This window comes from Homo sapiens, chromosome 5 (genome assembly GCF_000001405.40).
Source record: "Homo sapiens chromosome 5, GRCh38.p14 Primary Assembly".
Classification (NCBI taxonomy): domain Eukaryota; kingdom Metazoa; phylum Chordata; class Mammalia; order Primates; family Hominidae; genus Homo; species Homo sapiens.
Window position 1 is genome coordinate 100,426,465 of NC_000005.10, and position 19,528 is coordinate 100,445,992.

At 34.7% G+C, this 19,528-nt stretch overlaps 1 long non-coding RNA gene across 5 annotated transcripts in view; it reads left to right on the forward strand.

Annotated features, from left to right (window-relative positions):
- LOC105379100 (uncharacterized) overlaps positions 1–17,259 on the forward strand; it is a 45,227-nt gene extending 27,968 nt beyond the window's left edge. For 3 of the 5 annotated variants that reach the window (XR_007058886.1, XR_007058885.1, XR_948622.3), the window contains 2 exons: positions 3,398–3,503; positions 17,127–17,205. This is a non-coding gene — a long non-coding RNA (uncharacterized LOC105379100). Of the gene's footprint in view, positions 1–3,397; positions 3,504–17,126 lie in introns of all 5 variants that reach the window. The other 2 variants (XR_948624.3, XR_007058888.1) reach the window with 1 other exon arrangement.
- Positions 17,260–19,528: the final 2,269 nt, after the last annotated feature.

Here is a 19,528-nt window from a genome sequence, read left to right on the forward strand (position 1 = left end):
TCTAGCAGTAATATGGGCAGATAATTAAAAAGGGGAAAAATTGAGTTAGAGAGACTCTTAAGAAGCTATTATTATGATCCAGAAATGGAAATAATTAATCATCTCAATTCATGTTCTACTTGTGAGAGTTAGATGGAAAATTGTATGTTAGTGATTTGAGATGTTTTAATTACTGACTTTCATGCATGTGGGATGTAGAGTGACAATAATATGTAGTCAAAAATGACTTTAAGGCTGGGCACGGTGGCTCACGCCTGTAATACCAGCACTTTGGGAGGCCGAGGCAGGCAGATTACAAGGTCAGGAATTCAAGACCAGCCTGGCCAATGTAGTGAAACCCCATCTCTACTAAGAATACAAAAATTAGCTGGGCATGGTGGCAGGGGCCTGTAATCCCAGCTACTCAGGAAGCTGAGGCAGGAGTATCGGTTGAACCCAGCAGGCGGAGGTTGCAGTGAGCCGAGATAGCGCCACTGCACTCCAGCCTGGGCTACAGGGTGAGATTTTGTCTCAATAAATAAATAAATAAAAATAAAATGACTTTAAAATTTGTAACCTGGAATACTAAAAGAATGACAGTGCCATATAGATTTGGGGAAATTATGAAGGAATATTTGTATTAATGAAAGCAATTTTACATTAACACTATGAAAAAATAGCTAATATTAAACATTACAGCATGAAGCAAAGATTACCTACTGTGAGGAATTTGGATGAATAATTTAACAACTTGAAACACTTGTTCGCATCTTCCCAGAGAAATTAAATCCCAAATCCTGCTGAGTATCCATTTACCATCACAGCAAGAAAATAAAGAACAACAGACTATTTAAGTGTCAGAATTTCAGGTGGCTTGCATATCGTAAGGTGCACTGGATAAGAAGTAAATAAGGAGCCACAATAAATGTTACAACATAGCATTATTTTTACACCATTCCTACACATTTTACAGAATCTCCAACCATGCTTATCAATTTCTTTCAGTTTTGCAAGTTCCTAGAGGATGTTTTGTATGTGATCCAAAACCTACTTTTAGGAATAATTCATATGACATCTATCGTTTTCTTTAGTTACTTTGAACTTTTTAAATTACCAAGTCCTCTGAAGGGAATCATTGAAATTTCCAACAGTGTCTGCTGAAGGGGCTGTTCCTACAAAGAGGTTTTGAAAGTATTGATGACACCTCTAATGTTGTCAATGACTGTGCCAAGACTGGTAACAATGCTTGAAAAATGGATGCCTATTGGAATATCCCTGACTCCTGCTGCTGCCAAGGTTGCTGGCAATGACACTGCTGATGCTTTGTCCTCACAGTGGGCTCCTCAGTTAGTACTTCCTTCCTCCCTCCCTCCCTCCCTCCCTCCCTTCCTCCCTTCCTTCCTTGTGCTTTCTTCTTTTTTCTTTTTTTATCCTTTCCTCATTTATTTTTTCATTTGATTTTTTAATTTTTAATATGAAAAACAAATTCATAAATACTAGACTGAAAACAATCTTAGTGTTTTGAATCTAAAACAATCTTTCTCTTATCAAGACATGTGGTACTTGGGCCACATAGGTGGATTTTAGCCCTGTATCTTCAAAGTTTCATAGGCTAAATTTCTAGTAAAAGTAGGTTATTCAAGCAGAAATAATAGAGCATAAATAAAAGATATCAGAACTGCAGGTGTGAATCTTGGAGTCAAATACCATGCAGTGAAAAGCAGATGCTCTCATGAAACCGTGGAGAAGGTTGTTTCAAGAAGTGAAGCTGAAGAACAAGGTGGGCAGCAGTGGCTGCAATTGGGGCCCTGTTAAGCTGTCAGACATTGGGAAAGTTGACAGTGGTATACAACACTATAAATTTCAATCAGTACCAAGAGGTCACATCCACATCCCAGAATAAAGAAGAAGAAGAAAACAAAAAGACCTAACATTTTAGAGGAGGAAACCTATTGCCAATTATAGGGAATCTCTTCCTCCAATCACATAATTTCATTCCCAGGTAAAGATAATATCCTAAATATCTAGTTAAAGTGAAGCCTGATAAGAGGGATAGAGGTAGAGTATAAGATATATTAATACAAACTGTATAGAATGAGTGCTAACACATTAGAAAGATAGTGAGAAGACAATTATTGAATATAGCTGGTTTTAAGATAATATTATCATGTAATTTTGTTTTATAAGCAATCATTTTAGACATAATTGAAGAAACAATAATTGCAATGTGTTTTGTTAAGCCTAGCCTAACATTTCTCTCATTCAGCCTTTATTGTCTGCATTCTAAGGCACATTCCAGAAAAAATAATATTGCTATAGAAAACTGTAAATGATGAGCATGAACAATGAAATTCAAGCTGCTTTTAAGTATTCATGCTAAACAGATATACTGTCATTCAGCTAAAAAGGGAAACATGTTCTTGTTTATAATAACTTTCCAAAAGAATCTGATGATATCTAACCTCATGCCATTTTCAATAAATTGTAAAATAATAATATGATCCCTAAGAACCCTGAAAGTGATATTTGTAAGGTGGGAATCTTCATGAAAATAAAAAGAAATAAAGTCCACAAGTGCAAATACTTAAATTGATACTTAAATTAAGAGAGAATAAACATCTTAAATCCTGGAGAAAAAATTTCAGATTGATTAATATCAAATCACAATTATTCAAAGAATTAAGTTAACAAAAATGCAAATTTTATAATATTTTATCAAGTACACATACAATCTACCTAAAATATAAACCACCTAATTTTGTAATATTGTGCTCTTTTTAACATTTATATGTATATAAACATTGCATTTAATTTTATATTTTCCTGTTTATGACAAGTTATTGCAACAATTTGTGTAAGAGGACATAGTGTCTGAATCCAATCTTCCTTCACTTTCCGAAGGCCAATCTTTTAGAGAGAAGAGAGGCTGGTACAAATGGATATACAGAGTTTCTTCTGTATGTTGCTGGATATATATTTAATTTCTCAATTTCCCTAGAAATCATACAACTGTAAATATCAGGCTTTTAAAAACATACTGGACTTTGAAGGGACTGTTTTTATCTAAATAGCATGTTACATTGGATACCTACTGTGAATGCTGTATTTTGCTTTTATGTTTGATCATTCATTTACTATTTCCTTCTCTAAACATGAAAGTGGACATATTTCCATGCTAATAATGAAATGTTACCCACATTATTTGGTTAGGAAAACTTTTCCTGCATCCAGTGAACAAACTCAGATTTATTTTTGGCCTTAATGCTTGTCATCTTTTCCATCATGAACCCATAAGATTCATATATCCAGATGCAGTAATTTAGGCTGCCACTTACCTAAGAGCTGTGGTGATGCTATGAGTTTTACCTTTCATTGCACCTCTGGTGTCGGTTCATTTCTCATCTTCCATGTCCCATAGAGCTGCTCCAAGTACAGAAAACCCTTTGAAGTCACTTGGAACTTTGTGCTCCGATGAGGCCTGAAGGACATGCAAAGTAAGAAACATGGCCATGCTTGCAAATAAGGTGAAAATTCAATCATCTTTACTAACGGTATACCTAAATGCATATCTATGTGTGTCTGTGTGCAGTAAAAACAGCACAGCAAACTTTAATTTTGCAAAAACAGAATGTTTATGTGGATCTATCTATTACACTTAAGCCAACTTATTTCACATATGAAGAAATAGACTAAGTATATTAGTGAAAGTAAATGCCTTCAGGTATCATATAAAAGATATTTATTTGTGTAGTAATATCCAATCTAATATTTAATTTACTCTATATTCCTTTTAAAATAATGTACATTAAGACAGACTTTGAAGAAAAACAAAGTTAATTTTTCTGATATTCTGATATCTTTACCTACATAGGCCAAAATTTAAAAATCAACTTAAAAATAGTCTTCATTTTTCTTTATAAGCATTTTCCAGTGTACCAATAAATGAGCAGTAAATGAGCATGCAGTTTTGGGGCTCCAGGTGCAAACCACATTTCTCACTTGCCCATCCGCATTGCCAGTTAGGCTCTGCCAATAGGTGGAGCTAGAGGACGACTGCAGGGCTAGAGAATTTCCCTGGAGCTTTCTGCCTACTTTCTGCTCCTGTCAGCTTCACCCAGGCCCAGCTTTTTAATATTTGGGAAAAATTTTGCTCTAATAGCTTCAGCAATTGAACCGAATTTGCATTTTTCCCAACATTTGTAGAATCAGTTCCATCACAGGTCCTCAGAAACACTAGCACCTACTGCTCAGCACCCACTCCTCAGAAATCTGGTATTCATCTTCACGGGGAGCCTTCTCCAAGTTACTAAATTTCAATCATTTCAGTCTGTTCCCTTTGATTATCCAGTCCTAAGGATTTCAGTTGTCACCTACAATTATTATCTTTGTGATACCATGGTTAAAACAGTTTTGTAGTAAATTGTCTCATGTTAAAATGTCTGATTTCATTTCTGATTTCTGAATTGACTCAGAATGGAGCATGTATTTACTTTACTCCATAATTATTTCAGTTTTATAAACATGACCACAGATTTGGGGTCTAAAGGACAACTGACAGCAACCAGCTGTCCTAGACAAACCAGAACATATGGTTATCCTAGATATGAGATTAAATATAATCCTAACTGAAATTCTAGGTAGCAATGTTATTTTCTTAATAGTTAGAACCAAAATTCTTCCTGGCATTGACCCCACATACCTGGAATCTAAGAATTGCTGCCTTATCTTTTTCTGTTGCTAGTCAGGTTGCAATATTGAGAATTGAACTCCATATGACTGTAGACAGAGGTACTGGTATTGCATGAATTGGTAACACACTTTTGTAAGAACTTTTGTAAGATCTTTTGTAAGAACACGTTTGATTATATTTCTGCTCTGCCTAAAACCATTCAATGGTTACCCAATTACATAAGATAAAGTTGAGATTTAGACAGTCGTTTCTCTGAGAAGTCCCAAAGAGTGGGTTATATGCTTCCTGAATGAATACTCCCACAACACTTACCAACTTACTGATACCATAACATTCAAAATAACATTACAATTACTTGTTTACTTGTCTGTATCAAGCTTTAAGCTATCATGTCTATGAAACCAGAACCTATGTTGTGTTCGCCATTGCTAGTGAGGAACACACTGTCTAGAACACAGGATAATCTCAATGTACATTTTATTTCTACTTTATATATACAGAAAGAAAAATAGTAAAGGCAGTACTAGAATAAGCTCCCATTGTACAGGGTCAGCACCTCAATTTTTTGGATGGTTACTCTTTAAGTAAGAGTATAGATAATTGGGAAGGAAGGAGATACTGCTTTATCATCAGAAAAAGCAGTTTACTCTCAAACAGCAGACAATATGCTAACAACAGCCAGTTATTATAGTTCTTTATCTCTTGTAGTCAAGGGAAATTCTTCCTTAATTCTGACAATTGTTTGAGTGTAAACCTTAATATTAGTTATTTTCATCATTTATTTGTGCCTGCATTGGTATTTTATTAACAGGTTAACAAAGACTAAGTAATAGAGTGAAGTAAAATGCTATTCTTCCAGCCACCATTCTTATTCTTAAAATTATTTCATTTCCAGTATGTCAGAGATGATATCTTTCTTTATCAATAAATTTAAGATATTTGGATTGAAATATTTTAATGTACAATTTTTTAATATCGCACTTCTTTTTCACTTACTAAATACACACACAATCCAGAAAATACCTTCCTGTGATGGGAACTATAGGAGCTATGCAAACTATTTTCAAGGTTTAAAATATCAATATTGAATTGAAATATTTTAGCCTATGTGTCATTTGAAAAAGCATCAAAGATATCTTATATAAAGAACATTTCAAAAATTAGTTTGTGAAACTGAAAACTGGAGTATGTTTTCCACTACCTTGGGGGAGTGGAGAATTGGAATTGACTTCAATGTTGCAGGTGAGCAACAGTATATACTTAAATTTAAATGTTCTCTTTCTATTTTTTCTAATTTACTATCATGGGAAATAGGATGATGATTCATTTCTCTGATAAGAGTAATTGATAGAAGTCTAAATAAATATGGGATTTCTATGTACATAATTTAGGGCTTTTCTTCCATAAGACATCTCTCTGTTGTACTCACACCCATACAAGTAGTACATTGACATATCAGTGAGCTACTTTTGGAAAAGTTCAGTTATAATATTTTTAAAACATACTCTAAAAACATTACACTTATGTCATGAGGGAGTTACTTTTTTCCAGTGTCTTGGTTGAGAAGCGTTCTGAATTATATAAAGTAGAGAACACTTTATAACATTGTCTCTGGCATTTTGTGGACCACAAATTTTAAAAATATCTAAATCTGGATAGAATCAAAAGCATATTAATGTTCCTGCTGAGGAAAATTGCTATTACTCAGCAATTCAGTGGCTTTAGAATATACCATTCAATATGAAGAAAAAAACTTAGTCCAAGAAATGTAATATAGTCACTCCTTTTTCATGTGTTAACTTTCCCTAGATTATAATGATTTCATTCTTTGGCAAGACTTCGGAAAGCACTAGTGTGCTAGAGAATCTTTTTTTTTTCTTATAATTATTTTAATATCTTCCATGACTATGGACATTTTCCTTTTCTCATTGCTACTACTAGCTATTTTTTTTAAGTTTTATTTTAAGTTCAGGGGTATATGGACAGGTTTGTTATATAGGTTATCTTGTGTTATGGGGGTTTGTTTGTACAGGTGACTGGTGCTTGCATAACTGGCTAGCCATATGCAGAAGAGAATCTTTTTATAATCTAATAAAAATTACCAACTTTCTTCTAGAGAGGTGCATAAACACATACATTACCTATTGTTTACCATTTCAGGTTTTTCAGGAGTTTTCTAAAATCATTTATTGGTTTAAAGGCTTCAGAGGTATATGCAAATGACTGAAAATTCTACATTTTTATCCCAAACCTAATGCCTACGTAGATAACCTGCAGCCACTACACTTTGACATATCTAGAATCGAATTGTCTTCTGCTCACACTTACATATACTAGTTCATTTCCAATTTCAGTCAATGATAACCACTACCCACCCAGTTTTTTAATCCATAAATATGGAGGTATACTTTATCCCTTTTCTTTTAGTTCTCCCACCCAATCAATTAACAAGTCATGTCAATTCTGTGCATTTAATTATTCTCAAATATGACTTTTTTTTTACCCCATTAAGCATTTATTTTCTTTCATCTGAATCCCCACCTCCAGCCTTATCCCTTCACAATATTTCTTCATACAGAAGCATTAAAATGTGCATTCTAAAATGCAGAAATGGTCATATTATTACACTATTTGGAACCCATCAAAGACTATTCATTGCCTTTAAGATAAGACCAAACACTTCACTATGGCTTAAGAAGGCCTGTTGTAGTCTTGTGTTTTGAAACCTTTCCACAATTGTTGTAAGTCTCTGTCATAATAAACTACAGACAGTACACTAATCTAAGATGTGCCCTGATGCTGTGGGTCCTTGTTAAAGTTCTTTATGTAAAGCCAGAATTTGAAAATGCACTTTGCACATGAGAAGTCTCCTGGGCTTAAGGCAAAGAACAGAACAACCAAAAGATCTAGGTTCTAATCTTAATCTGACACTTGGACGAGTTATATAAAATGTTTGGACCTCAATTTCCTCATCAGTAAAAACAACTGGATTTGTGCCTTCATCTTTAGCAGTCTATGGTTGCCTTTTGCATCTCTTAGAGGTCATTAAATATGTTCAAGTTAATGTGTTGTCATCTAGTGGTTTTATTTCAGCAACATTTGCTAAAAATATTCAGTTTGTGAAGTAGAAAAAGAAAGACAGTGATTACTATTTTACCAGTTATGAGGATCATACATTTACTTTTATAATTTTCTAATATACACAAAATGTGTATTTTTAATATTAATTATATTTGTATTTTGTATTATCTGTGAAAAATATTTAATATTTGTTTTGTTGTGCAATTTATACTATTAGCTTTATATTATGTATATCATTTATATTATCTTTTTAATTTTATATTATTAGTTTTTCTTTATATCTTGCATTTTTAGTGTCACAAAATTTTCTAAATTCAATGCATCACAAAATTGTTACTTAGAAGAAAAAAGCAAAATTAAGAAATGCAGAAGAATGTATGTTAGAGAATAGCTGAGATAATTTAAATTATTACAGTTAGGTAAAGAATTTTTATTTGTAAGTTTTTTACTATCCAATGCAGACAAGGAGTATTTTTACACATATCTTTGTCATCAGTGTTAAAGATTGAAATGGTTTTTTTTTTAATTTGATTCCTCCTCTTTCTGCACATTCTCTCCTGTCTGGTCTCCACCCATCTTTGTCCTGCTCTATACATTAGGAGGTCGAAACCAACAGACTGCTTCATATGAGCTCCCTGACCAGCTAGTTCATAGTTAGGGTTGGCTACTGAGAGTCAGTGAAATAAGAAAGGTGAGATTTGATAACATTTCTTCCCAGCCCCATCTCTATTTAGAGTTATTTCTCTGGCTGGAGTACACTGTGCCGTGAGTTTACTTCCTAGTAGCCTCTCGCCCTTGGCTCCAGCTCTCACCATTTCCTCATTTTCACTCTGATTCTCAAAAAGTGGTGTAATGTCTCCTTCTTTTTTTAATACTGCTACATCTTTACCCAGTCCGATCTTTAAATTACCTTTATTTAAATCATCTGAATGGGTTATATTTTATGTAAAATCCTGCTTGATTCAAAACTTCAAGAAGGACATTTTTAGAGGAATGCATACATTGAGGAAATTATGTATTTTTTAATTATACAAATAGAAGCAAAAAATATAATTAATAATGTCTTCTGTTACTATTGTTTGAAAATGTAGAATTGGGTCCAATCACATCATTTTGAAATTTAATCTAGAAAACTTGAATGAACACTGTTAAATCCTAACTCAGTGAAAAAGTCCTGGTGAATTCATGGTGTGATGAAAAAATGGTTTTAAAACCAGAACGACATAGACGTGAATTCCAGCTCTATTACAGACTAAGTTAAATTAAGCCTGGTATCTACTATTTATGACTCAGTTTTATTTGACGAACTTTTAAGATCATTGTAAAAGTAGAAATAGAATAAATAATGTGGGACATGGTTTATTCTTACTGAATGGTAATCTCTTTAAATTTGTCACTATTTTTCTTTGCAATGGTTATCCTTAATGCAGCAATTTACTCTACAGACTGATATATCTCAGTCTGAAACAGAGGCAGCATCTGCTTGAATGGACAAATTCAGAAGTGTACATAGGATATGTTGGTGGTTGAAGAATTCAATGCTATATATATGCCAAAAATACAGATGGCACTGTTGCCATTTGTGATGATTAATTTTATGTGTCACATTCACTGGGTTAAAAGATACCCAGATATCTCTAAAACATTATTTCTGAGTGTGTCTGTGAGGTGTTTTTGGAAGAGATTAATCTTTGAATCACTAGACTGAGTAAAGATCACCTTCCCCCATGTGGATGGGTATCATCCAATCCATTGAGGGCCCACTTAAATAGAACAAAAAGATTGAGGCAAAGCAAATTCCCCCTTTCTCTTCTTGAGCTAGTACATCCATCTTCTGTCCTTGGACATCAGACCTCCTGATTCTAAGACTGCTGGATTCCAGGACTTAACACTACCAGTACCCCAAGTTATCAGGCATTCAGCCTTAGTCTGGGAGTTTAACAATTGTCTCCTCTGGTTCTCAGTCCTTCAGACTGTGACTGAATTACATAACCAGTTTCTCTGGTTCTCCAGCTTACAGACAGAAGATCCTGGGGAATCTCAATTGCCATGATTTCATGAGCCAATTTCCAACATAAATCTCTTCTAGTAGATCTACGTATATTCTATTGATTGTGTTTCTCTGGAGAATACTCACTAATGCATGATACTATTGGGCAAATTCAGAAGCTTGTACTGAATCAACAGAGATAGACTTTACATGGCTATCATCTTCCCTTTGGCACACATTTCTTTGTCATAACAATTGGACTAATGCTACCATAAATTCTTCTACTACATAGATCTCTGATTCAAGGGATCTAAGTTCCTTCTATCTGACTTATTTATTTGGTAGGTATCGAATAGAAAATCCCAAGTCTTAGAATGGAAACAAATTTTCAAAGATGACATAAATTCAGTCAATACATTTGTTTAAAGTTAAATATGACATTCACTCTCTGAGGGCATTAAAGTAAAACAGTGCATGCTTATTCTTGAGGCGACTGCAATTATATAAGGAAGAAAAAATCAACCTGAGAATATTTTTATTAGCTAGGTAAAACTTTAGTGTAAAGTGTACAATAATATTATTTTATAGGTATGTTGGGTAAAATATTAATGATTATATCAGATTTCATAGCTGGGGCAGAGCTACACTTGTATAACACTTTTTACTCCCCTCTACCTTATCATATACCACATTGTTATATCATTTTATTGGGTTCATCTTTCATTTCACTTAACTCTGAAAATTTTAACAGCAGAATTGTGACTTGTACGAAAATAATACATCAAATAATTGTGTTCATCTAACTATGGCTTCATCAAAATTAAAAATAAATAGAATTTCTGCCTGACCACATGCCATCATATACAAGATGTAGAAACTAATAACAAAAGGAGGGAAAAATAATTCTAAAAGCAAACGGCTAAAGTCTATAATAAATTAATAGTTCCTGAAAAATGGTAAAAAGAAGACTGACAGCCAATAGAAAATAGGTGAAGAATATAAGAAAAGTCATAGAAAATGCAGGGCAGGAGATCAGTCATTATAAGTGAAATGCAAATTAATTTTGCCCAGAGGTACCATTTCTCAGATAGCAAAATGATAAAAATCTAAAAGTAGACTATCGATGGAGAGTAATTAGACAGTATTTATAAATATACCAGCAATTGTAGTTTAGAAAATCAGCCTACACATATGCTTACATATGTGCAAAATGTGTGCAAAATGTAAAAGGTTTCTCATCAAGGCACTGTCTATATTAGCAAAGAATTTAAAAGAAACTGAATCTATCAATAAGAGGTAAAAAATTAAATTGTGAGACTCTTGCATGATGAAAAATAATATATCTGCTAAAAGTGGGGAAAAGGTAGCTCTTTATGTATTATTATGAAAGGATTTCTAAGGTATGCTATAAAGTGAAAGACACACAAAAAACATAGAGAGTGTGCCATTATTTGTGTAAAAACCAAATAAAAATTATAGAAATTTCTCCTATTTTGCATACACATAATATTTTGGGGCTTTAGATTCTAACTGTACTGTGGTATTAAATTATCTCTCTATTGCTTTTAAAGCAGTGGTATATCTATTCTGTTTCCCCAAGATCTGCTGCTGGTGAGACAGCCAACATAGACTTGGCTTTCTCAATAAAAACAAGGAATTAGTTTATGTCTGAAGAAAAGGTTAAGTATCTTAAAAACATGCCTCAATGGCATTTCAATTAATTTTGTCAACTACATTTTAAAGATAGTCTGATATAACAAGCATTATAATAATAATGATTAACAACATTTTAAAAGTACTTTTCAAAAAGTACTATTTTTTTATTTTATTATTATTATACTTTAAGTTTTAGGGTACATGTGCACAATGTGCAGGTTAGTTACATATGTATACATGTGCCATGCTGGTGTGCTGCACCCATTAACTCGTCATTTAGCATTAGGTATATCTCCTAAAGCTATCCCTCCCCCCTCCCCCCACCCCACAACAGTCCCCAGAGTGTGATGTTCCCCTTCCTGTGTTCATGTGTTCTCATTGTTCAATTCCCACCTATGAGTGAGAACATGCGGTGTTTGGGTTTTTGTTCTTGTGATAGTTTACTGAGAATGATGATTTCCAATTTCATACATGTCCCTACAAAGGATATGAACTCATCATTTTTTATGGCTGCATAGTATTCCATGGTGTATATGTGCCACATTTTCTTAATCCAGTCTATAATTGTTGGACATTTGGCTTGGTTCCAAGTCTTTGCTATTGTGAATAGTGCCGCAATAAACATACGTGTGCATGTGTCTTTATAGCAGCATGATTTATAGTCCTTTGGGTATATACCCAGTAATGGGATGGCTGGGTCAAATGGTATGTCTAGTTCTAGATCCCTAAGGAATCGCCACACTGACTTCCACAATGGTTGAACTAGTTTACAGTCCCACCAACAGTGTAAAAGTGTTCCTATTTCTCCACATCCTCTCTAGCACCTGTTGTTTCCTGACTTTTGAATGATTGCCATTCTAACTGGTGTGAGATGCTATCTCATTGTGGTTTTGATTTGCATTTCTCTGATAGCCAGTGATGGTGAGCATTTTTGCAAGTGTTTTTTGACTGCATAAATGTCTTCTTTTGAGAAGTGTCTGTTCATATCCTTTGCCCACTTTTTGATGGGGTTGTTTGCTTTTTTCTTGTAAATTTCTTTGAGTTCATTGTAGATTCTGGATATTAGCCCTTTGTCAGATGAGTAGGTTGGAAAATTTTCTCCCATTTTGTGGGTTGCCTGTTCACTCTGATGGTAGTTTCTTTTGCTGTGCAGAAGCTCTTTACTTTAATTAGATCCCATTAGTCAATTTTGGCTTTTGTTGCCATTGCTTTTGGTGTTTTAGACATGAAGTCCTTGCCCATGCCTATGTCCTGAATGGTAATGCCTAGGTTTTCTTCTAGGGTTTTTATGGTTTTAGGTCTAATGTTTAAGTCTTTAATCCATCTTGAATTGATTTTTGTATAAGGTGTAAGGAAGGGATCCAGTTTCAGCTTTCTACATATTGCTAGCCAGTTTTCCCAGCACTATTTATTAAATAGGGAATCCTTTCCCCATTGCTTGTTTTTCTCAGGTTTGTCAAAGATCAGATAGCTGTAGATATGCGGCGTTATTTCTGAGGGCTCTGTTCTGTTCCATTGATCTATATCTCTGTTTTGGTACCAGTACCATGCTGTTTTGGTTACTGTAGCCTTCTAGTATAGTTTGACAGGGATGCCCTCTCTCACCACTCCTATTCAACATAGTGTTGGAAGTTCTGGCCAGGGCAATTAGGCAAGAGAAGGAAATAAAGGGTATTCAATTCGGAAAAGAGGAAGTCAAATTGTCCCTGTTTGCAGATGACATGATTGTATATCTAGAAAACCCCATTGTCTCAGCCCAAAATCTCCTTAAGCTGATAAGCAACTTCAGTAAAGTCTCAGGATACAAAATCAATGTACAAAAATCACAAGCATTCTTATACACCAATAATAGACAAACAGAGAGCCAAATCATGAGTGAACTCCCATTCACAATTGCTTCAAAGAGAATAAAATACCTAGGAATCCAACTTACAAGGGACGTGAAGGACCTCTTCAAGGAGAACTACAAACCACTGCTCAATGAAATAAAAGAGGATACAAACAAATGGAAGAACATTCCATGCTCATGGGTAGGAAGAATCAATATCGTGAAAATGGCCATACTGCCCAAGGTAATTTATAGATTCAATGCCATCTTCATCAAGCTACCAATGACTTTCTTCACAGAATTGGAAAAAACTACTTTAAAGTTCATATGGCACCAAAAAAGAGCCCGCATCGCCAAGTCAATCCTAAGCCAAAAGAACAAAGCTGAAGGCATCACGCTACCTGACTTCAAAAAGTACTATTATGCTAACCTTTAACTTGCATCACAGTAGAAGGTCCTAAATATATGTCTTCCCACTGAATTTCTTCTTGGTCCTTTGATGGAAAGGAGACAGCTTTGTAGTAGAAACTCCATGAGTTTGAATTAATTGGTATCTTTATGACCTCTAACACTGGTGCAATTTTTTTCCAATGACATAATGATACAAATAATAAATAAAATAACATGGAATTACATAAAATATTTAATGATATTACGAACATTTTACAAAGATCAATCAAAACTAGGAAAGATGTATTACCAAAATTTTAAATAGCTTGGATCTAAACAGAAGAGTATTCCTGACACCCAAATAGGAGCCCAGGAAAAATATAAAATTTAAATATTGAGCATTAAATATCAGATGAATTCCAAATGTCCAGTACAAAGATCAGGGTCTAATAGGGTGACTGCTTAAAAATACAATATTCAATTATATTAATACATATATTAAACCATTATTAGCCTTTTGCTGTCACAGGATGTTCTTAGCATGTCTAATACTGCAATATTCTTCATTATCTCATGCTTTTCTTGCTATCCAGTCTCATTTGTTTCCACTTTCCACTTTCTAATTCTAAGATTCTGCACTGAGCTTTTTTATGATACCTGAAGTTGCTCCGTTTTGCTTTTTCGGTTCTCTAGGTTACTGTTATGGTTTGGATATGTTTGTTTTACACAGCCCAGTCTCATGTTGAAATCTGATCCCCAATGTTGGGTGCAGGGCTTGGTGGGAGTGCTTGTATCATGGAGATGGATCTCTCATGAACGGCTTAATGACATTCCCAGTGGAGTTAGTAAGTTTTCACTTTTAGTTCCCAGGGGAACTGGTTATTGAAAAGAGTCTGGTACCTGGACCTTTCTAGCTTGCTTTCTGCCATCACCATATAGTGGGCTCCCCATATAGTGGGCTACACCTTCCACCATGACCGTAATGTTCCTGAGGCCCCTGCCAGAAGCAGATGTTGGTGTCAGGCTTCTTGTACAGCCTGCAAAACTGTAAGTCAAATAAACCGCTTTTCTTTATAAATTACCCAGCCTGAGTTATTAGTTTATAGCAACACATAAATTAAGACTGTCCCTATTTCTCTCCTTGGGATACTTGTCCCCATACCTTGCCTCTGTAATTATTACTCATCTTTCAGACCTTGAGATACATGTCACTTTCATATGTTCCTTGATTCTGAAGTCCATGGTAGACATCACTCCTGCATTTTTTTCTAATGATACTGTACTTTCCTTATCATTAGTGTATCATACCGTTAATTGTTGCTCTCCGCCATTTACCTGTAAGCTCTATAAATGCAGGGATCATGACGGTCTTGTTAAGTGTTACACCTAAGCATCTGCAACACTGAAGATAATCACTACATTTAAAATAATGCTGTTATAAAGAAATTTTCAAATTTTGTCTATGTGGTAACTTGGTATACATATTCCTTAAAGAAATGTTTTTGGAAAATCGTTCACATGCACTGCTGATGGAAATGTGAACTGTTTTGACCTTTTATGAAAGCAATATGGGGCAATATATATATGTACACACAAATGCACATATATTACTGTGTGTATATGTGTGTATATAGGCATATATGTATTTCTCAATGCAGTAAACCTATCTGCTAAAGTAAAGCTATGAGTAGGTAAGGTTGTACATTAAAAAGTTGCTTATTATAGTATTGCTTCCAGTGATGAAAAACAAACAGCAAAAGAAATATGGAATGCCTGTTAGTAGAGTAATTGTTTAACATTGTTACATTATATTCTTGCCATAAAATGTCACCAACCATTAACAAAAATTTTTGAGAAATATCCCAGCTGACTTGAAAATATTTCACAAAGTATTATTGAGTGAGAAAAGCAAGATTCTGAGGGTGTGTATTTGGTGGCTCTAAAGAAGAATAAGAAAGGATGTTTTCTAAGTTGGCAACTTGATTTAACTGGTTAACTAAAGGAGACTGGAAAAGATATTGGTTGGAAGGAGAAGAACAAAACAATAAAGGATAAAAAAGAGAGACTGATCCCTGTAGAACATGTGTGATATAATTGTGTTTATCCCTTGCTCATGAAAATTTTGTGCATTCTTATATGTACAATAAAACTTTTAAATATAAATATGCAGTTTCCTGAATCTGTGCTAGTCATATGAAGCAATACCTAAGTATGTACCACAGACTTAATAATTTATTTGGTCCTGATTACCCCTAGTAAAACTAAGCAATGACTACTGACATTTGTCCTTCAAAATTCTCAGAGAGAAAGGCAAAATGTCAGTCCTACTCAGTTACCTTCATAGTATCCACTACATTCAGACATGACTGAGAAAATTAAAGGTGTGCAGATAGCTGTCTGATACTCATTGGCTGGACACTTAAACAGAAAAAAGAAAGTGAGGCTAGGCGCGGTGGCTAATGCCTGTAATTCCAGCACTTTGGGAGGCCAAGGTGGGCAGATCACTTGAGGTCAGGAGTTGAAGACCAGCCTGTCCAACATAGTGAAACCCAGTCTCTACTAAAAATACAAAAATTAGCTGGGCATGGTGGCACACGCCTATAATCCCAGTTACTCAGAAGGCTGAGTCAAGAGAATCACTTGGACCTAGGATGCAGAGGTTGCGGTCAGCCGAGATCACACCACTGCACTCCAGCCTAGGTGACAAAGTAAGACTCTATCTCAGAAAAAAAAAAAAGAAAGAAAAAGAAAAGGAAAAGAGAAAGGGAGAAAAAAGAAAACTAGAGGGCTAAGCAAATGTATCTATTTTGAGCACTAGATCTAGGGTCTAAATAAATAGGAAAAAGACAACTTTTTATAATTAGAGGTTCTTAAATATCAAATATAAGTGTCAAGATGAATACTGAAATGTAACCTATTTTATACTGTTTTTTGTGCATCAAATTAGAAAAAAATTATAGGTACTAATTTGGTATCCATACTCATTATATTGCTTTATTACTAGTAACATTTAAAAACAAATATCAATTGTATATGTCCACACCAGATACAAATAGAGTTTTGATTTGTTTTAATAGAGGACAGAAGCAAGTCTATGAGACACAGAGAACTGAACCACACTGAATTTGGCAAAGTGTTATGGTTTCATAGAAGATAAAATATTTGAGCAGGGAACTGTAGTAGGTAGAAGTAGGGAAAATACATGGTCAAATACACATGCTCCTGCCCATAAAGACAAGGATCACATCAGTTTTCTAGTTTACCTTATATATCCAATGTCTGGCAGAGTCCCTAGTAAATAATCATGTTTAAGAAATGCTTGCTGAATTAATAATTGAATGAATGACTGCATAAATCAAAATGACATCCTAGTAATTTACAACATAGTATTTAGCTAGGTCGGAGAAATTATTAGCAGATATTGATTACTAAAAGAATGAATGAGATATGAAAATAAGACTTAGTAACAATAAAGTACTTAACCTCATTTTATAACCGCTTTATTCTTTTAGCAAAAACTGATCTATGGCAGTTTTGCAGAAGAGAATGGAAAGAAGTTTGGAGCTGCTCAAGGGCTACAAATGCCATGCTAGGAAGTTCACTTCATCCTTTGGGAAGATAATGGAGATGCAACAGAACTTTTATGTATATTCATATATTTTAATATATTATTTATTATTTTTATATTTACTATTATATTTATTATCTATTGTTATAAATATATACTTATATATTATATTTATTATATATTATATATATTTCATGTCACTTAACGTATGAGTAAAATCAGTAAAAAAGCTATAGTCGAGCCTTTAAATAGAAAAACAAATTCCCCTACAAACAATAATTATTGCCCCATTTTCTCTGGTATGTCTTTGTCGTCTTGTGACTTGCCTCCAATTGACCAAAATTTAACTACAAACTTCCACAACTCACAATCCTACAAAAATGTAGACTGAAATAAAAAGAATAAAATATATGTTTCAAAAAATATACGTTAAGCATATTGGACTATGCTTAATATATAGGAATATTATATTATATAATATATAATTATACTATTATATTATTATATACATAAAATATATATGAAATATATATTGGAATATTGCCATATAATTATTCATAATTTTAGAACCTCAAGACTTTTTAAAGTTACTTTGAGTTATTTGCAAAATATAGTGCAGAAACTTTTTAATAATCAATTAACTTACCTTTAGGTAAATGCCTAATTAAGAAGCTTTGCAAATATGGATAGGAATACCCATATCCTAGGCCCTGTTACCATGTTAGCCTCCTTGTAGTTTTCCTTTTCATCAAGTGCAAGGTAGGCATCCCTCATCAAGTCAAGAGGGAACATCCTGCGTTCTAAAGAATTCATTTCAATATAGCTAAAGGTTAAAGAAAGAACAAAAAATGCCATTACTCTTGGAGAATACTTACTATGCGGCCCTTGGCCTACATATAAAGAGGGGATGATATATCAACCTCTGACTTAAATATCCCTGCCAGTTACCACTATCTTTTCATGACATTTCAAAATGTTAATTAATTTCTGCATATTGTTACATCTTGTGGATTTTTTTTTTTTTTTTTTTGAGACGGAGTCTCGCTCTGTCGCCCAGGCTGGAGTGCAGTGGCGGGATCTCGGCTCACTGCAAGCTCCGCCTCCCGGGTTCACGCCATTCTCCTGCCTCAGCCTCCCAAGTAGCTGGGACTACAGGCGCCCGCCACTACGCCCGGCTAATTTTTTGTATTTTTAGTAGAGACGGGGTTTCCCCGTTTTAGCCAGGATGGTCTCGATCTCCTGACCTCGTGATCCGCCCGCCTCGGCCTCCCAAAGTGTTGGGATTACAGGCGTGAGCCACCGCGCCCGGCCGATTTTTGTTTGTTTTAAGAGTTATCCCACCTGGATAACTCAGCTGAGCAGGCATCAGCTGTCAGAGTAGCCATTTAAAGCAGCAAGACAGAAATAAAAGAGTTCAGCCTTTAGTCACCTCCTGCTATGGTATAAGCAAGAGTCTAAAACCAGAGAAAACACTGACTCACCCTGTTTCATTTTCCCTCATGAAACAGCACAGACTTGGGGGCCATCTCATTTTTGAGGAAGCCCAGAACAAAAGACTGTGACAGTAATTATGGAATCTGGGAGGCAGGATGTGGGAAAGCGGGTGAGGTTGAAGGTTAAGTCAGAGTAGAGAAAAGTGTCTTGATGTTTCTCCCGTCTCCCTCCATGATGAGGCCTAGACAAAGGCATCTGAAGACCCCTGCCCAAGGCCTCGGAAAAAGAGACCTAGGAGTGCAAGTTCTTACCAGGCAAGGAATGTAAATATGGGAAGAACAGAACGGGCAAGGGAGGGCTGGGATCTTGAGGGCAACTCTTCTCAGAGGCTGCCAGGAACCAGCTGTGCACCCGCTCTGTGTAGACAGGGTAGCTTCCCTGTGTGATCTGCCAGGTAAAGCTTTTGAAATCACCTATGGCCAGGCCTGAAAAATAACACACAGGTTTTAACTAGGAGCTGGACTCCTTACCAACTCTATTTTTCTAGAAGAATATGCAAACTCATTGTTTTATTTCTTTGGTATGAAATCAAGAAACTATAATTAGTCCAGGCTTTTGATATGTGTTTAACTGAGTTCAATATATTGACAATTGAATTATACATTTTCCAGATGGCGAAAGGTCACACATCTGGCAGAGTTTCTTAGTTGAAGTTTCTTTTTGTATCAATTAATGTATGGTTATTCAATAGACAATTACAATCATTTAATCTATTCTAATTTTTTAAGCAATTTGTATTTCTTATATCTTTTCGAGGAAAAAGTCAAATTTGAATAGATCCAGTAAGGCACATGTCAATATCTGCAGCTCCTTATAAAAAGCTAAAAATGCAGCAATTTACCTCAACTTTTA